This window comes from Homo sapiens, chromosome 10 (genome assembly GCF_000001405.40).
Source record: "Homo sapiens chromosome 10, GRCh38.p14 Primary Assembly".
Lineage (NCBI taxonomy): Eukaryota > Metazoa > Chordata > Mammalia > Primates > Hominidae > Homo > Homo sapiens.
Genome location: NC_000010.11, coordinates 74113197 through 74132706, shown reverse-complemented (window position 1 = coordinate 74132706; position 19510 = coordinate 74113197). Strand labels below are relative to the sequence as shown.

At 42.8% G+C, this 19510-nt stretch overlaps 2 protein-coding genes across 10 annotated transcripts in view; one reads left to right on the top strand and one right to left on the bottom strand.

Moving 5' to 3' along the window:
• AP3M1 (adaptor related protein complex 3 subunit mu 1) overlaps positions 1-12452 on the top strand; it is a 30574-nt gene extending 18122 nt beyond the window's left edge. For 6 of the 8 annotated variants that reach the window (NM_001320265.2, NM_012095.6, NM_207012.4 and 3 more), the window contains 5 exons: positions 2715-2800; positions 3466-3599; positions 6352-6559; positions 8183-8327; positions 8797-12452. In NM_001320265.2, the coding sequence (NP_001307194.1) occupies positions 2715-2800; positions 3466-3599; positions 6352-6559; positions 8183-8327; positions 8797-8897 (674 nt within the window). In that variant the 3' untranslated portion in view covers positions 8898-12452. Of the gene's footprint in view, positions 1-2714; positions 2801-3465; positions 3600-6351; positions 6582-8182; positions 8328-8796 lie in introns of those variants that run through there. The other 2 variants (NR_135191.2, XM_047425054.1) reach the window with 2 other exon arrangements.
• The window catches only part of VCL (vinculin), a 123248-nt gene continuing 115081 nt past the window's right edge, over positions 11344-19510 (bottom strand). Inside the window, exons 19-21 of one of the 2 annotated variants that reach the window (NM_003373.4) lie at positions 18320-18523; positions 17808-17912; positions 11344-14684 (exon numbers count right to left, since the gene is read on the bottom strand). In NM_003373.4, the coding sequence (NP_003364.1) occupies positions 14538-14684; positions 17808-17912; positions 18320-18523 (456 nt within the window). In that variant the 3' untranslated portion in view covers positions 11344-14537. The remainder of the gene's footprint in view (positions 14685-17807; positions 17913-18319; positions 18524-19510) is intronic. The other variant, NM_014000.3, reaches the window with a different exon arrangement.

The following is a 19510-nucleotide window of genomic DNA, read 5'->3' as shown; positions in this document are numbered from 1 at the left end:
AGGGTCTTGCTCTTTTGCCTAGGCTGGAGTGCATTGGCGCAGTCCCTGCTTACTGTAGCCTTGACCTCCAGCTCATGTGATCCTCCTACCTCAAACTCCTGAGTAGCCTATAGTCCCAGCCAATCAGGAGGTACACGCCACACGCCACCATGCCTGGCTAACTTTTATTTGTTTTTTTTGTACAGACAGGGTCTCACCATGTTGCCCAGGCTGGTCTTGAACTCCTGGGCTCAATCAGTTTACCTACCTCAGCCTCCCAAAGTGCTGGGATTACAGGCATCAGCCACCACACCCAATCTGATTATCTTTTTAACCAGACAAAACAATAGTACTCTATAAGAATCGTAAAATTTTATTATTAAAAATAGCAGCCGGGCATGGTGGATCACGCCTGTAATTCCAGCACTTTGGGAGGCCGAGGCAGGCAGATCACTTGAGGTCAGGAGTTTGAGACCAGCCTGGCCAACATGGTAAAACCCCGTCTCTACTATAAATACAAAAATTAGCTGGGCGTGGTGGCAGGCGCCTGTAAACCCAGCTACTTGGGAGGCTGAGGCAGGAGAATTGCTTGACCCTGGGAGGCAGAGGTTGCAGTGAGCCAAGATTGCACCACTGCACTCCAGCCTGGGTGACAGAGTGAGACTCCATCTCTAAAAAAACAAAAAAAGAAAAAAGAAAAAAAATCTAGTCCTTCCTTTACATTTATTTTACACATAAGGAAAGCCCAGAAGGGTTAAGTGAACTGTTCCAGGTCACACAACTTGTTAATATGTAATGATGGCTTATTGTGAATTATAGTCAATATCTTCTCTTCCATGAGTCCCCTTTTCATTATAACATTCCATCTTATAGAATAATAGATTTTTGCCAGGCACGGTGGCTCACACCTGTAATCCCAGCACTTTGGGAGGCTTAGGCAGGAAGATCACTTGAGCCCAGGAGTTCAAGACCAGCCTAGGCAACATAGCAAGACCCCATATCTATCAAAAATTTAAAAGATTAGCTAGGCATGGCTTCCTTAATCCTACCTATTCAGAAGGCTGAGGCAGGAGGATTGCTTGAGCCCAGGAGTTCAATGCTGTGGTGAACTATGTTCACACCACTGTACTCCAGCCTGGATGGCAGAGGGAGACCCTGTCTCTTAAAAAAAAAGAGATATCTTTCTATTATGGATCCTATTTCTTAAAAGTTAACTTAGTCCATTTCATAATACACTTGCCACATTTTAAAATTCTATTGAAGCCGGGCGCGGTGGCTCACACCTGTAATCCCAGCACTTTAGGAGGCTGAGGCGGGTGGATCACGAGGTTAGGAGATCCAGACCATCCTGGCTAACACAGTGAAACCCCATCTCTACTAAAAATACAAAAAATTAGCTGGGTGTGGTGGCAGGCGCCTGTAGTCCCAGCTACTCGAGAGACTGAGGCAGGAGAATGGCGTGAACCCGGGAGACAGAGCTTGCAGTGAGCCCAGATAGCGCCACTGCACTCCATCCAGCCTGGGTGACAGAGCAAGACTCCGTCTCAAAAAAAAAATTAAAAAAAAATAAAATTCTATTGAAAATGGTTTTGGTTGGTTTGTTTTATTTTGTTTTTGAGACAGAGTCTCACATTGTCGCCCAGGCTGTAGTGCAGTGTTGTGGTTTCAGCTCACTGCAACCTCCGCCTTCTACGTTCAAGCGATTCTCCTGCCTCAGCCTCCCAAGTAGCTGGGACTACACGCACACACCACCACGCCTGGCTAATTTTTTGTATTTTTAGTAGAAACGGGGTTTTGCCATGTTGCCCAGGCTGGTCCCAAACTCCTGAGCTCAGATAATCTACCCACGTCAGCCTCCCTAAGTGCTAGGATTACAGGCATGAGCCACTGCGTCCTGCCAAATGTTTTAAACTCATATCCAGTCATCTTACAGGGTTGGCTCCATAAAGGAAACAGTTTAATTTTCCTTAGAATTAGCATATTCTGGCTGGGTATGGTAGCTCACACCTGTAATCCCAGCACTTTGGGAAGCTAAGGTAGGCGGATTGCTTGAGCCCAGAAGTTTGAGACCAGCCTGGGCAACATAACAAGACCCTGTCTCTACAAAAAAAATACAAAAATTAGCCAGGCGTGGAGGTGCATGCCTGTAGTACCAGCTGCTTGGGAGGCTGAGGTGGGAGGATTGCTTGAGCCCAGGAGGTTGAGGCTGGCTATCATAGCACCACTACGCTCCAGCCTGGGTGACAGAGCAAGACCCTGTCTCAAAAAAAAAAAAATTATATTCTACAGTGGCATACCTGTAGTCTCAGTTACTCTGGGGACCAGCTGGGACTAGCTAGTCAGACTTTATCTCTTAAAAATAAAAGAATTATTATTATATTCCAGCCAGAGTTAAGTATGGACCTTGTCCCCTGACCTGTTAATAGAGATGTAAAGCTTCAGTTAATCTGACACCCAGAGGGTATCTCTATTGTTCTAGATGTAGTGATTGTTGGGCTAGGTGTCATGGCACGCACCTATATTCCCAGCTATTTGGGAGGCTAGGGCAGGAGGATTACTTGAGCCCAGGAGTGAGGCTGCAGTGAGCTATGATCATACAACTGCACTCCAACCTTGGCAACAGAGCAAGACTCTGTCTCTAAAAACAATAAATAAAAATAAAAAGATACAGTGATAGGTCTAGTGAAGACTCATATTCCATTGATGTTATCTTCCTTTTTTTTTTCTTTCTTCAGGATCTACAGTCTTTGCAGAAATTCAGGGGGTCATTGATGCTTGCATTAAACTATCTGGAATGCCTGATCTCTCCCTTTCTTTCATGGTAAGTTTTATTCTCCTGTTTTATAGCCCCTTGAATGCCTAATACATGTGAAGTACTAAATGAAATGATAAATATTGAGATAAGTTTGCATCTTAGATTGCAAAGGATTATCTCAGAAATATTCCTAGCAGAGTTTCCTAAGACAGTCGCTTACATGATGAGCGTGGTCTTTGTGGAAAGACTAAGGGAGGTCTTTGCCTGAGTGTGCTAGAAGGGGCTTAAAATTGGCTGGCTGGCTTCTGCAAATATCCAGTATCATTTTTACTGAATAATTATTTGCTTTGCTGATATGAAAGGACACTGGTCTTTTGTATCATTTTAGAGTCAGCATGATATACTGCTAGGAACAATTAAGAGAACTGACTTCTGGTGTTGTCACCAGTTTGCTCTGACCTTAAGTCCTCTGAACCTCAGTTTTTTAATCTGTTAAAGGGAAATAATACTACTTGCCTTTTCTCCTTTATAGTTATTGAAATTCAAATAAAATAATGTACATAAAATATTTACAAACTTTAAAGCATTATGAAACTATAAGGTTGTGTAGATGTGGTCATAAACTCTTCCATGACTGCTTTATCTTCAGGGAACATATTTGTCAAGGTATCTGAGTACAGTTCCCATATTCATTATAGTCTATGAACGACTGTCTTCTGTTTTTCTGGCAGAACCCTAGGCTTCTGGATGATGTCAGCTTTCACCCCTGCATCCGGTTCAAGCGTTGGGAATCTGAAAGAGTTTTGTCATTTATTCCTCCAGATGGAAATTTCCGACTCATATCATACCGTGTCAGCTCACAAAAGTATGTTGATGCATCAGCCAGAATCTGCCATCATACATATCAAGTACAACTCACCTTTCCCTGTTTCTTTCTGAAAGTTGAGTACTTGAGGTCATCACTGCTCACTTTAACCATAGCTCACCAGGAGACCCAGTGAGAACGGGTGAAAATACGCACCTAAAATAATCCGTATACTTTGAATGTATGAGTGTAGAGTGGTACTAAGTGAGACTAGAGTAAAATCTATAGCCAAGAACAAGCAAACCATACATAACCTGGGCAAAAATTGTGGTACCGGTCCTTTGCAAGGTTATGCATGGTCAAATTATGGCACTGGTTCTTTGCTCAGGTTATGCATGGTCCATTTTGCTCTGCTTCTGAAAGCTGAGTACTTTGCAAGCAGAGCAAAACGGACCATGCATAACCTGGGCAAAACCATGAACCATTGCCATAATCTTACCATAGTCTGTAGAGTTTGTGGCCAACAAGGAGACAGACCTACCTGTAGTTCGTGAGGACATTCCCCAATTTACCTGCTTCAAGTACGTCTTCTCTGCGTTGAGTTTTTAAGGAACTGTTTAGCATTGAGGGGCCGGGTGCAGTGGTTCACTCCTGTAATCCCAACACTTTGGGAGGCCAATGTGGGCAGATCACTTGGGGTCAAGAGTTCTAGACCAGTCTGGTCAACATGGTGAAACCCTGTCTCTACTAAAAACACAAAATTAGCCAGGCGTGGTAGCGTGTGCCTATATAATCTCAACTACTTAGGAGGCTGAGGCATGAGAATCACTTGAACCTGGAAGGCAGAGGTTGCAGTGACAGATCACACCACTGCACTACAGCCTGGCCAACAGGGTAAAACTCCATCTCAAAAAAAAAAAAAATTTAGCATTGGGGATCGGAGTTATAGGTAGTTTGTTTCTTGAAAATACCAAAAGTTATTTGAGTAACATCATGACAGAACTCAAAAACAGAGAAATTATTTCTCGGCTCTTTTCTTTTCCTTTTTTTTTTTTTTTTTTTTTTTTAAGCCGGAGTTTGGCTCTTGTTGCTCAGGCTGGAGTGCAATGGTGAAATCTCGGCTTACTGCAACCTCCACCTCCAGGGTTCAAGTGATTCTCCTGCCTCGGCCTCCCAAGTAGCTGGGATTACAGGCATGCACCACCACACCCGGCTAATTTTGTGTTTTTAGTAGAGGCGGGGTTATTCCATGTTGGTCAGACTGGTCTCGAACTCCAGACCTCAGGTGATCTGCCCACCTCAGCCTCCCAAAGTGCTGGGATTACAGGCGTGAGCCACCGTGCCTGGCCTGTTTCTTGGCTCTTATCACATAGGAACTGTTTTCATTTATATAAAACATATTTTACATTATTTTTCAGTGGGATCATAATTCATTTTAAACTAGGGCCATTTGCCCCAATTGTTTTTGTTTGTTTGTTTTATGTTATTTTGTTTTGTTTGTTTGTTTTGAGACGGAGTTTCACTATTGTCACCCAGGCTGGAGTGCAATGGTGTGATCTTGGCTCACTGCAACCTCTACCTCCTGGGTTCAAGCGATTCTCCTGCCTCAGCCTCCCAAGTAGCTGGGATTACAGGCACCTGCCACCGCGCCCAGCTAATTTTTGTTTTTTGTTATTTTTTTTTTTTATTAGAGAGGGGATTTCACCATGTTGGCCAGGCTGGTCTCAAACTCCTGACCTCCAGTGATCTGCCTGCCTTGGCCTCCCAAAGTGCTGGGATTACAGGTGTGAGCCACTGCACCCAGCCACCCCAATTGTTTATACTGTTATTAAACTTCAGATTTCTGTCTTGATTTGTATACAGTTCCCAGCACAGTGGTACAAGAACATTATGCTGTACTCAGCTCCCCCTTGTGTAGATACTGAATCTGCAGTTCTAGAGGTACTGCCATCTTGGTATCCTTGGAGGACTGGTTGCAAAAATCAGCAGATGCTCGAGTCCCTTACATAAAATGGTGTAGTATTTGCATATAACCTATGCACATCCTCCTGTATACTTTAAATCATCTCCAAGTTACTTGTGATAGTACACTGTAAACACTGTGTAAATAATTGTTATACCATGTTGACTTTTTATTTTTATTGTAGTTATATTGTTATTTTTTACTTTTTTTTTTTTTTTTTTTTTTTTTTTTTTTGAGATGGCGTCTCGCTCCTTTGCCCAGGCTGGAGTGCAGTGGCACGATCTCAGCTCACTGCAATCTCCGCTTCCCAGGTTCAAGCGATTCTCCTGCCTCAGGCTTCCAAATAGCTGGGACTACAGGCATGAGCCACCACACCCAGCTAATTTTTGTATTTTTAGTAGAGACGAGGTTTCACCATGTTGGCCAGGCTGGTCTTGAACTCCTCACCTCAGCCTCCCAAAGTACTGAGATTACAGGTGTGAGCCACCGCGCCCAGCCCTAGCTAATTTTTGTAGAGACGAGGTTTCATCATGTTGGCCAGGCTGGTCTCAAACTCCTGACCTCAGGTGATCCCCTCCCAACCCTGGTCTCGGCCTCCCAAAGTGCTGGGATTACAGGCATGAGCCACCACGCCTGGCCAATTTTGTGAAATAATATTTTCAATCCTCAGCTGGTCAAATTCAAGGATGCAGAACTGTGGCTACAGAGAGCCAACTCTGTAGTACCTTATTGTGGAGTTAAAGGCAGGGTAGGATACTCTGGACAGAGGTTTTCAGGATACCTCTGGAGCTCTCCCCACACCATTAATTGTGTTTGTGCTTTTGTATCTTTCTCTGTTTCTCTTTTTAGTCTAGTGGCAATACCAGTGTATGTGAAACATAGTATCAGCTTTAAGGAGAACAGTTCTTGCGGCAGATTTGATATAACAATTGGACCAAAGCAGAATATGGGGAAAACTATTGAAGGAATTACAGTGACAGTTCACATGCCAAAAGTTGTGCTGAACATGAACCTGACACCCACACAAGGCAGCTATACATTTGATCCAGTCACCAAGGTACAGCCACTTCAAATCAAGAGTGAGCAAGTGTTTCTGCAATCTATTTTGTGATTTGTGGGGAGGAATGGAGGGAAAGGTTTGGCACCTTGTTTAAAACTAAAGTTCGTATCAAAACCTAGAGAGCATACTGTGCTGTGCTTCTGCCACTGGCTGCAGAAGGAATCCTGCAGCTGCTACTGAGTAGATGAACAGAAAAATGTGTCATTCTGTCCTTTTTCAGAGTGTGCCTTCACTCATCCATTATTAATCCAGAGCCTGACTCTGCTATCTAATAAGAAAGAAGTAAAAGCTTTTTTAAAAAGAGAAAACATTATGTAGATTGAAGAAGATATTATGATGGTCTATGAATTACTAAGTTTTCTATATAAATTGATCACTAAGACCTTTTTCTTCCTTTATAATTTAAAAGCATTATTTCATACTCTTTCACAGGGCTAGGAAAGTTGCTTCCTCACTCTACTTAAATTTTTGTGTAACAGAGGGTTTTCAGAGAAACTGTAGCAGATGATTTTCTCTCAGCTTCCTGATTAGCTGGTAAATATGATTGTTTTCAATAGCAGAGTCATTGAGCTACCTGATAAATGAAAAGACATGTTTTTTGAATAACATCATAGAATGTTAAAGATTATTTAATACAGTTGTAAGGATTCAAAGAACCTCCTCCTGGAGACCACACAGGGCTGAGAAAGGGAGCTTCAGATTCCTGGCCCTTTACCACAGCTTCAACTATGACAGCTTTGCTTTCTTTCTCATCTGCTGTTGAGCCTTCACACCGAAGATTTCATTTGAACAATGGGTTTCACAGCTAAAAGTTTTAAAAACACCATCTTAAGTCAATCTAATTATTTTACAGAAAAATAAACAGAGGCTGGGCGCAGTGGCTTACGCCTGTAATCCCAGCACTTTGGGAGGCCGAGGTGGGTGGATCACCTGAGGTCAGGAGTTCGAGACCAGCCTGACCAACATGGAGAAACCCCATCTCTACTAAAACTACAAAATTAGCTGGGCATGGTGGCGCATGCCTGTATCCCAGCTGCTTGGGAGGCTGAGGCAGGAGCATCGCTTGAACCTGGGAGGCAGAGTTTGTGGTGAGCCAAGATTGCACCATTGCACTCCATCCTAGGCAACAAGAGTGAAACTCTGTCTCAAAAAAAAAAGAAAAAGAAACAGGCCCAGAGAAAAGTGAAGATGGTTATGATGGAGAACATTTGAAATCAGAGGGCCTTAGGTTCAAATCCCAGCCTTACCTCTGACTAACTATGTGACCTTGAGCGAGTCATTTGATCTCTGAGCCTTAATGTCCTCTGAGCTTTAATTTCCTCATTTGTAAATAGAAGACAAAAGCTACTTCACAGCCCTCAATGAGACAACATATGAATAATGCTAAGCACGGTGCTAATACAAAAGAAAATGCTCAACAAATGTAGATTCTCTGCTCTCACTCCCCATTCAAAGTCACAGAATTAATCAGAGGTAAACTCACTGTAGATGCCAGATCTCTTGTTTTCAAGAGACTGCACTTCAGTTTGTACAGAAGTTTATGATATCTTTGAACTTTGTTTTTGAGGGTTTGTCTTTAATAAATGGTTCTATTTGTTTTTCATTTTTTGTCTTTTTAAGGTACTAACATGGGATGTGGGAAAAATTACTCCACAAAAGCTCCCAAGTCTTAAAGGACTGGTAAATTTACAGTCTGGAGCCCCCAAACCAGAAGAGAATCCGAGCCTCAACATACAGTTTAAGATCCAGCAGCTTGCTATTTCAGGTAAGGATAAGGTTGACTTGTAGTTAAGGGTAATTGAGTTTTGCAAGCTCATTTATTAGGCATTTAGAAGAGTAACAAAAGTTTCCTTCTCTAGAAAGAGCAGTAGCCCATTTGCCTTTTATACTGTGCTTGGTGGGGCAGTCTCACAGGCACCGACCAAATGATTTTTCAGAGCACCTTATTTCAAACAGCTTCCCCTCACCTCCGCCCTCATTTAAGCACCAAAAAGAGAGTTATTCATATTCACAGAAAGTAGAATTATACTTCACAGACATTCCCTGCCTGTGTGGGAATCTTAACCAAAACCATACCATCAAAGTGCAATAATTTGTAAATGATAGAAGAGACATTTCTTCCAAATGGTGGAAGGGACACTGGTTAATGTCAGATTTACCATATAGCGCTCATTGCTAACATTATATTGGTTGGGATGATGATAATTTATTCTTTTTCATTCTTTTTGATACAGGCTTAAAAGTAAACCGTTTGGACATGTATGGGGAGAAATATAAGCCATTTAAAGGAGTCAAATACGTCACGAAAGCTGGAAAGTTCCAAGTGAGGACATGAGAAGAGGCCAAAATTCCTCAGGACCAGTTTGTTTTCCAAGTGTCATTACGATGTATCACTATTAGGTACCAAGTGAGTGGGAATACATATTCTAGTTAAAGCATTTGTGTCTAGCTACACACCGCTAACAAAGTTACTTAGTTATCAATGTAGGATTCTTAAGGAGCTTTAAGCTAAGGAAACCTTTTAGTGACTTAGCTTATTTTGTATCTTTTCACTTAGGAAGATTTTGGAGGTGATTTTTTTCCATAGGAGGATACCATCTGGCGGCTGCACATTGTAACAGTAAAGGCAGAAAGCTGTAGTGATAACCTCTCTCCTAAAAGAGTTAACTGGTCTCATCCAGCAGAAGCTATCTTAAATCTGTGATGTGTCAGGTGCAGCCAAATATCACACCTTCTGATCTTAGCCATCCCAAACCAGTATCTGTCCCGAGAGGAAATTCCCCCCACCCCCAGAAGTTTACAGAAAACTGCCTCTTCAAGTGTTTGCCTTATTCAGCTTTTCACTTGTGCCATTAAGCAAGCACTGTAGCAAAAGCCACTTCCACATGGCCCTGGCAGGGAGCACTGCTGCTCCATGCTCCATTCTCACTGTACTTGGTATTGTATTTTTTATAAATAAGATTTTTATGTAAAGCTTAGAATTTGATTTACAGGGACCTTGCTGCAGTAAATACCATCTCAATTTTGTGCCACTGGTTCAGCTGTTAGCACAGTAAAAAAATCATTTGTATCAAAGGGGCAAATGCTTTATTAAGGTAGTAAAAGGGAACATTACTTCTGCTTTTAGGAAGTTACTGCAAGCACAAGCATTTGTGCTTTTAAGCAAATTAAAGTAGTAAAAGAAAAACTTAAGTGAAACCTTTGCCATCTTCATGTTTTATAATATAAAGCTTACCCAACACCAGTTAAGCCATGGTTAACCTAAATGCCTCATGCCCCAGTTCAGCAAAAGGAGGAAAATGTGCCTGCCTCACAGTCATCAGTCTTTTTAAATCTTTTTTGTTGTTGTTCTTAAGGGTTTGAATTTGTCTGCATTCCTTGTCTTTAGGGGAAATTCCCTTTTCATATTGTGTGCTTCCCAAAGCTATAGTCATAGATTTCTTCCAGAAACTATTGTCATAATTGTCACTGGAGTGCTTAAATATACGTACTATACTGACAAAATACATGGAAGTGAGTTATAATGAGGCAGAAACAAAATCCTCGGTAACATTGATGATACTCTACCGATCACCGTGGTTTTGGAAAGTCAGTCAACAGTTGTATTATTGCACTCAATTTCATTGTGACATTTTATTTAACTTCTTCATCTTGGTGGTCCTTGCCCAGTTATTTTGCCTCATTAGACATCAAGAAATGGAGAAAGACTGAAAGTTAATATCTTAAGTGCTTGTTCTTCATGTTTCCTTCTTGTTATTTATGCTATTCTCTTTGTGGCTCCATTCTTCTTTCAATCTTCTCAGCTTATAACCGTCTTTCCCTTATGCTAAGGATAGCCCTTACACTCATCCCATCTATGCTGTCAAGGGCTGCTGGTTGGTGCTGGTACAAGGAGCCCACTCAGCAGTTTTCTTACCTTTGCCTGCCCTGCCTTTCATGGAATAAGAAAGGCAACGTTTTGCAGCTTCCAAATTTCTGAAGAAACTAATCTCAGATTGGCAGTTAAAGTCAAAATGTTGCCAAATATTTATTCCTTTTGCCTAAGTTTGGCTACCCGGTTCAATTGCTTTTTATTTTTAATGTCTTGACTCTTCAGAGTTCGTACCTCAAAAGAACAATGAGAACATTTGCTTTGCTTTCTGCTGAATCCCTAATCTCAACAATCTATACCTGGACTGTCCAGTTCTCCTCCTGTGCTATCTTCTCTTCTATCCAAGTAGAATGTACGCCAGGAGCTCCTTCCCTCTAGCAATTTCTACTAAAATGTCCAAGTAGAATGTTTCCTTTTACAATCAAATTACTGTATTTATTAATTTGCTAGAATCCAGTAAATCATTTTGGTAGCTCTGGCTGTGCTATCAATAAAAAGATGAAAGCAACAAGTTGATTTTTTTTAGGTCTACTATTGATTGAACATTCTCCAATGGGCAAGGCTCATTGTCAAAGCAGGGTGAACATGATCAGATTTTCTTCTGCATCATCACACAAGCTGCGAGTGTTGCTGCAAAGCACTTCTCAGTACTCCTTCCCTAACCTCAGTATGTTAATAGCCATTCATACTTGGCTTAAGCATCACCATTCTGGCCACAGTCTGAGAGATTAGTGATCAAAGCTCCCTTCCCTATCACTACCACCACCTACTGATAACAAAGATTTCTGAATACTTAGTAGTAGTAAAATATTTTTCAAGCACAGAGTTACAGCTAATCCTGGATCACTTGTTCTAAATTCATAAGGGAGTATATCAAGAGCAAATGAAGTAAATGATTCTTTCCTGCGTGTGGGAGTCACCATCATTTTATTCAAAGGGAGTTCCTGTGATAGGTTCATTCCTTAAGTGGTGCTACAGAAGGACCCTAGGAAAATGCTGATCTTGTCCTGAGAGGCAACTGATTTGAGAAAATGATTATACTACAGCAGGAAGGCAGCACCAGTGAACATATGGTAAATGGCAAAAACAAGACAGTTTTAGAAACTGCTAATTCAGTAGCAGCCTTGGCCTTTCCCTTAACTCAAGCAGGCTGGAATCTGTCTTTATAGTCGGCAACTTTCCAAGATAAAGCAGTGATAATAGCAGTTGGCAACACTAAATATCAATATCATCACCCTTTAATGACATGTTACCCCTTTCAGATCTAGAAAATCAGGGAAAAAGTGATGTCCCAACTCTACTCTAAAAACCTGCTCCTACTATTTTAGTCAGTGTTTCTTTAAGGAAGAAGAGGACTATGTCCCCAAAAGCTAACTCTGTTTTATAGCCCTGGTGGATCCCTGAAAACCCTATTTATTCTATACTGGGCTTTGGAATATGAAAAATGGACCTGTGTGGCCGGGCGTGGTGGATCACACCTGTAATCCCAGCACTTTGGGAGGTCAAGGTGGGCGGATCACTTGAGGTCAGGAGTTCGAGACCAGCCTGGCCAACATGGTGAAACTCCATCTCTACTAAAAATACAAAAATTAGCCAGGCATGGTGGCGCACACCTGTAATCCCAGCTACATGGGAGGCTGAGGCAGGAGAATTGCTTGAACCCGGGAGGCAGAGGTTGCAGTGAGCTGAGATTGCACCACTGCACTGCAGCCTGGGCAACAGAGCAAGTCTCTGTCTTGCAGCAGGGGGAAGGACCTGTGGTACTCCTACAAACTTAACAACTTTAGCTTTTCGGGGAACAGTGGTGGTCTCCACAGATAGCTAGAATCTTCTAAGATGAAAATAAACTGTTTCATCCAGCTGCTTTCTGCCTGTTAACCTTTGCCACTTCCATTCCTTCAAGTGTGTAATCCCCAGGGTTGTCTTGTATTACACACATCCTTGTTAAGTAAATATACCACTGTTGATTTCTTCTTCCAGTGCAACATTTGGATTAAATAAAAATCTTTAGTTTCCAGATCTTGAGGATTAGTTTCATTGACTATTCATCAAAACAAAGGAGAAACCTGACCTAAAAGTTCTTGCTAAAGTAACATATCCATCATTTAAAGCATTTTTTATACAAATGCATTTTATTGTTTTAAACAGAACAAAAGAAGAGGCAGAAAATATTTGCATATAACAAATCCTAGCTTATAAATGTAGTTTTTTAGCGGTGATGTCTCTAATCATCATTCAGGGATTTTTTTTTTTTTTTTTTTTAATTTGCTTCACTGTGTCTCGAGCACTGATATTGGAGAAAAGCACATCCGGCATAAAGTGTAAACCAGTGTCTCAAACCACTGGAAGAACCGGGAGAGCAAACATGATTTTTCTTATTTCCTCTAAGTAATCTTTCTTTAGTAAAACAACAAGTGATCTTTGGCATAGATTCATACTTTAAAGGCATTAATATTGCATTTATATCAGGCAAGCAACTATACAAATATGCTGAGGGCCTTGAAAATAATCATCCTCATTATAAAGGAAATAGTGAAAGCCTGAGTGTAAAGGACCAACTTAAGTTGTACACATTCGATGTTGGGAACTAACACACAGCGATGGGTGGGAAGGAAGGATGTTCAGGCAAGGTTCTTACTCCTTTACTCATCTGGTTCTGGCTTTGGGAAAAAATAAGGTTTCATGTGCTGGGAAATACTTAGCAGTAATAAGTACCAAAAAGGAAACACTGCCCTCTCATTTTGCCTAGTAGGAACTTACTGTGGTGATAAGAAATATGAAACCCATTACTCTCTTGAACCCCATACTTGGGAGTAGATGCAGAGAGCTTGGTTGTAGTTGGTTGCAGGGAGGTAGGAATTACAGGAGTAGTATTTCCCATTGATTCATCTTCAGCAGCACTAGAATTCTAGTCTGCAAATACCACTCTCCCTTAGGCAGGAAGTGTCCTTCAGACAGGGCTGCCTTGCCATTAAACACTCTTAGGGGACAAGCACTCCTCTTTCTTAGGACTGAATTTAAAAAGGATCTTTTAGAGTTACAGATGAACAAACACCTACATGTCTTTAAAATCTTGTTTAGAAAGGATGTGGAGGAAGGCTACAAAAACCAGGATAGGAGACATGTTTTGGTTAAAATTAAAATGCAGCATTTCAGCTCAAAATGAACAATTAAGAGCTAAGAATGAATGATAAGGCCTCAGCACAGACCTCTGCAGGCAGTGACTAAGCATGGAGTGCCGGGAGTGGCCCTGCTGGGAAGATGGCAGGGCCACACCCTGGCTACTCTGCCCTTCCAGTGGCAGAGAGCACCAGGACACAGTGTGTTCATGGGATGGCTACCTTGGCGGGCTGAGGCAGGATATGGGACGGGAAGTTTCCCTAGCACAGACATTGCTCAGGGGCATGGTAAAAGCAGAATCATATGATTCTGTGATTTCTTCCTGACAGTGAAGTACAGTTTTATATTGTGGGAAACTAGAAGGATTAAACTGAGGAAGGGCAGGAAATGAATCCAGGCCCCCATATGCTGGGGCTCCACAGAGGCCACCTTCCCCTGTAGCAGCAAAGCTCACTTCTGAAAAGGACCCAGGTAGCACAGCCCAGGGAAGGAAGGTATGGTTGGCAGCAACATGGAAAGCTCAAAACAATTTTGGGAGGCACAGCAATTTTCTTCTTAGTAACTGATTTGCCTGGGCCCTGGGTCTTGGGATTCTGGAAGAGTGAATGGGAGCCAAGGAAAGAGAAACAGAGGGAAGTGTCCCCTAGGGAACAAGGGCAGAGCAGAGTGTCTGGCTAGTGTTCACTTGGATTCTGAGCTTATGTGAAGTCCATGGGCTAGAAACCCAGTCTGCCTATTGGGATAGAGGGTGCACAAGTGTAACTGTGTTTGAGAATACAGGCTTTATACAGAAACACATTTCAAAGTGTCCATGAAAAAAGAGTATAAATGTCTTCTAATTTGAAGAGGCCCCCATTCCTTTCTGATGTGCCAGGCCAGGATGTGATTTTTCAGCTCCCAGCAACTCTGGGCAGCTCCTGGGACTCAGATCATTTTCCTTCTTTTTAGTAGAGGTTTCTGTGCCAGCCAGGCTCAGCCAGGTGCCTACTGGTACCAGGGAGTCTTTCTAACCCAGCGCAGTGTAAATCCAGCATCTGTTCGAATTTTGATTGAAGCAGCTTCAGCTTCCCGCACAGTCTCCTTCACAGACTGCATGAGGTTCTGGGCATTGTGAACCAGCATCTCTGTGGCCTGCAAGGAAAAAGGTACTTTCCGTTACCCAGGGTCCCTGATGCAGGCCTGTCTCTAAAATAGGTTTCAGCCAGGAGTGGGATGCAGCTAACCCCACTGGTACCTGGCATCCCCCATATTTGCTTGCATCACTAGGGGTTTTCCCAGATCACCAAAAAGAACCCAAAACTGGCCATCGCTGATTGTATACTGTGGCTTCAGATAGCTTACAGCATGTCCTCTTTCTTGGTCTTCAAACATGCTTCTCCCTCAGGACTTGCTGTTTCCTGTACCTGGACTGCTCTTTCCCCAGGGATCCCAGGGATCCCCTCACCTTCAGATCTTTGCTCACTTGTCACCTTGGTGAGGATTTCCCTGCTCATTCTTTTTTTGAGATGGGGTCTTTCTCTTTCATCCAGGCTGGAGTGCAGTGGTGTGATCTCGGCCACTGCAGCCTCTGCCCCCTGGGCTCAAGGATCCTCCTGCCTCAGCCTTTGAGCAGCTGGGACAATAGGTACATGCTGCCACATCTGGGTAATTTTTTAATTTTTTGTACAGATGGGGTTCCGCCATGTTGCCCAGGTTGGACTCGTACTCCTGGGCTCAAGTGATCTGCCCACCTCAGCCTCCCAAAGTGCTAAGACTACATACAGTAGGCGTGAGCCACCGCGCTTGGCCTTATTTTTTCCATTGAACCTATCATCACGAACTGATACACTACGTATTTTACCTAGGTTGTTTGGGAGTTTTGAGGGTTTTTTCTGTCTTCATACTAACATTTAAGTTATACAGAGTAGATTTTTGTCAATTTTGTGCACTGTCATACCCCCAGTATTTAGGATGGTGCCTGGCACACAGGAGGTATTTCATAAATATTTAATTAATGAATTTTAAAAACAACCAAATGAACAAACCAAGCAACCAACCACTTTAAACCCATGAAAATCTAAATACGTTAATCTTTCAAACAAACGCACAAACTTATAAGACTGAAATCACATTGGTACTCTACCATAGAAAGTCAAGGAAGGATCTTGGCAATTCATCAGCTCAGTAATTCTTGGCTATTTTTAAGTCATACATCATTTGAGGATTTAATGAAGGCGGTGAATTCTCCCCCAGAAAAAATGCACACCTGCATAAAATTTGTACACTCAGTTTCACAGGCTCTGATAAGTGTAACTGTGGGCTGGAATTCCTCATCAGTTGTTCTTTTCACTTGGTCAGCAAAGGGACTCAGGCCCAGAGACATTCATAGAGTGAGAATTAGGACTCAGGATTTCTGACTTATAGTCCTATGGGTTTTGTTTTTTGTTGTTGTTTATTTTATTTTATTTTATTATTATTTTTTTTTTTTGAGACGGAGTTTCACTCTTGTTAACTAGGCTGGAGTGCAATGGCACGATCTCGGCTCACTGCAATTTCCGCCTCCCAGGTTCAAGCGATTCTCCTGCCTCAGCCTCCCAAACAGTCCTGTGTTTTTTCCATTCTACCATACTGTCAATTTCTACCCTTTTTAAAACTGGAATATTTAATGGAACATAATAGATATTCTCAAGGCATATTTTTAGTGGTTAATTGATTAAGTCTCTGATTAGGCCTGAATCTCAGTCTTACCCTTCCTTCCCCATTTTTTTCCACCTTTCTTTGGACAGAAGAGATCACATGACATAGAAACAGCGAAGTGTGCAAACCCTTCATAGAATATGTGGAAGTTAGGTGTGAAGATACAGTTCCCATGGTTTGGGAGAAGAGAGGATTAGGGTGAGAGTTGTTGGATTAGAATATGGTAGCAGAAGCAACAATAATGGCACCAAGAAGAATGGCCGCCTTATTTCCTCTAAAGTGCCCCAGTGCCCTATCTCCTGGCCTAGAGATCAGAAACAGTTGTTCTTTCAGACTATTTTTGAGTTCCCCACGTTGGGTGGGGGGAATTGTGTCTCTTAATTTTTTAAACTCCCTTAACACCTAATACAGTGCTTCACCTTAGCCCATGTGTGATGAGCCTCGTGTGGCTAGTCCAACAAAACTATGTACCCCATGTGTGAGGAGCCCTGTGTGGGCAGTCCATGTGGGAATCTTGCTTAGAGCAGGGCCTCCCGGAGGGGAAATAAGGAGAGTAAGGGGTGCTCAAATGAGGGTTTCCTGAAAGACCTGGGCCAAGATTTTGGGAAGGAGGACAAACTTGGGTGACTGCCAAGGTATATGCAGGAAGCAGTGGTTAAGAGAACCTTCTCAGCATCCTTATTTCTATCTCTATCAGAGAAACCTAAAGAGAATATAAGAGAAGCACCTCCTTTGAGCTGTCATTTCAGTTTCAGCACAGGCCTAACTACCTCATGCCCCGGAAAAGCCTGCACTATTCATCCTCCCTGAGGCACTAACACACAGAGAGCTGGAAAGCGGACCTTCTCTCCAGCCAGAAACATACAGTGAGTTGAAATGAACAGGCACTGGAGGCCTCAAAAGAGCCAAACTTATTCCAAGGGTAAGGAACTGAGTAGAGTCCTAACTGCCACTGATCCATAGTGTTATTTCAGACACTTAACCTCTCTAGACCTCAGTTTCCTATCTGTAAAATGACAAAAGTTGCCCAAGAGCAATTCCAGATTCCTTTTATTTACTTATTTATTTATTTATTTATTTATTTATTTATCTATTTATTTTGAGATGGGGTCTTGCTATTTTGCCCAAGCTAGTCTTCAACTCCTGGTTTCAAATGATCCTACTGCCTCAGCCTCCTGAGTAGCTGGGACTACAGGTGCACACCACCACACCTGGCTCCCAATTCCTGGTGTTTTGTTTTGTTTTTTCAAGACAAGAGTCTCACTCTGTCACCCAGGCTGCAGTGCAGTGGTGCAATCACAGCTTACTGCCTTGACCTTCTGGGCTTAAGCAATTCTCCCGCCTCAGCCTCCCAAAGTGCTGGGATTACCTGCATGTGCCACTGCACCTGGCCCCAATTCCAAATTTCTGATGTATCTATCCAACACAGACTTTCCCCTCCTGAGACAGTCTGAGTGCATCCCACATACTGAATACTCGATACTCAATTAAGGGGTAAAATTTCCCCAAAGCAGAGTTAAATTACTGCAAAACGGCACAGAAGCTGCCAGCCAGAAACCAAAAACAGCTGCCACATACCTGCTCAGACTCCTCATCACTGATGTTGGTCCGGCCCAGCATGGTGGCCTTCACTGTGGACAGGATTTTGAGCTGGGTGCTTATGGTTGGGATTCGCTCACATACCTAAAGAGAAAGTTTAATTTGGTATGTTTCTCTGTTTGCCTTGCCCACAAGCTCCTTGAAGGCAAGACTTACCTACCTCTGTATTCCCAGTGGCTGGCACAGAAAAGGCACTCGATAAATAAGCAGCAGAATTCCACTTGTTTTTTCCCCTAGGGTCAGTACAATCCATTTCTCCAGAAATGGAAGCATTCATTTGATTAGGAAGTAACCTTTCCTGAATCTGTCTTTCCCAGTACATTTGTTTTTTTCCCTTTCTGCTATTTCTGTCCCCGGTGAAGTGCCTCTTTCTCCCTTACCTAGTTTTTCTCTCCTGCTTTTCTCCCTCTCATACCCTCCCCTCCAACACACACACACACGCACACACACACACACACACACACACACACGCAGCCTCTTTCCCCGAGTACCTGTAAGAGGTTGGTTCTAATCCGTTTATCTGTGCACTGCTTGGCAACCTCCTTGGCCAACCGAGTCACCTCATCTGAGGCCTTGGCGATGTCCTTGGCACACTGAATGAGTGCCCGCTTGGTACCACTGCCCCCTCTTACCAGCCGAGACATCTCAGCCATCAGCAGAGCCATGCGCTTGGCTGCTGCAATGATGTCATTGCCCTAGAGGGAAGCAAAGATACAGTGTGAGCTCTGCCCACGCTCTGGCCATGTTAAGGAAGGAAGGAGAAGCACAGAGAAGAGGAGGGAGCTTGCCACCTTAGCATCCCTCCGGAAGGGTGAGAAGAGGAGAAAAGGGCCGTTCTTGAGTGATACGGATAGCACTGGAAGAAAAAAAAAGAATGAGACAGGGCACTCGCCCAAGCACTCAGTGTGAGAAACAAAGAGAGAGGAGAGAGGAGGGGGAAAGGAGAGGGAGAGAGACATTTCCTGACTAAAAAAAAGGAAGACCCAGATATTAGTCTGAAAGGGCAAGATGTGCACCCCAGGCACAGCACTGAACAAGCACTTTGGCATCTCCAGGTTAATCATATCAATAAACTGGGGACAGGGCCAAGGAGCTGGTTAAACAGGCACTTTCATTTCTATAGGGAGAAAGCAGTAGAGCTGGCCTGAGGGGAAAAATACAGAGGAGCCTTTCCAGATGCTGAAATCACCCTCTTCATGCTTACCCTTGTTGCAAATAGCAGCCAAGCGTTCTTGCTACTTAACTAGAATTTCAAACCCAAGTAACTATTCTCAGCTGGGTGAGGGAAAAAAAAAAAAAAGATATTTTCTGATCTAGCCTGCTCTGGCTATCCCTCTACTGCCTCTTATTTGTCCTGTCAGCCTGAACGAACATGTTGCTTTAATTTTTCCCACGTAAAAGGGTAAAGAATCAATTCTTCAGTCCCCTCAGCTAAGTGAAGACTCCAGTTAAAGGAACCTTCAGCTAAGAGGATGCAAGAGAAGGCATTAGGAAAATAAAAGTCGTGATTCAGGCTGTAAATGGAACCCTCACTCCAAGGAATGGCAGTTTATCTTAGACTTGGCATTTTGGTTTACTAAAACCCTCATGGGTCATAGTAAAGAAACAGACAAGTTATGTATTCTGTGCCCTCTCATGAAAGCTCCTCTTTTGGCTGCTAACAACCCCAAGTCATAGCAACT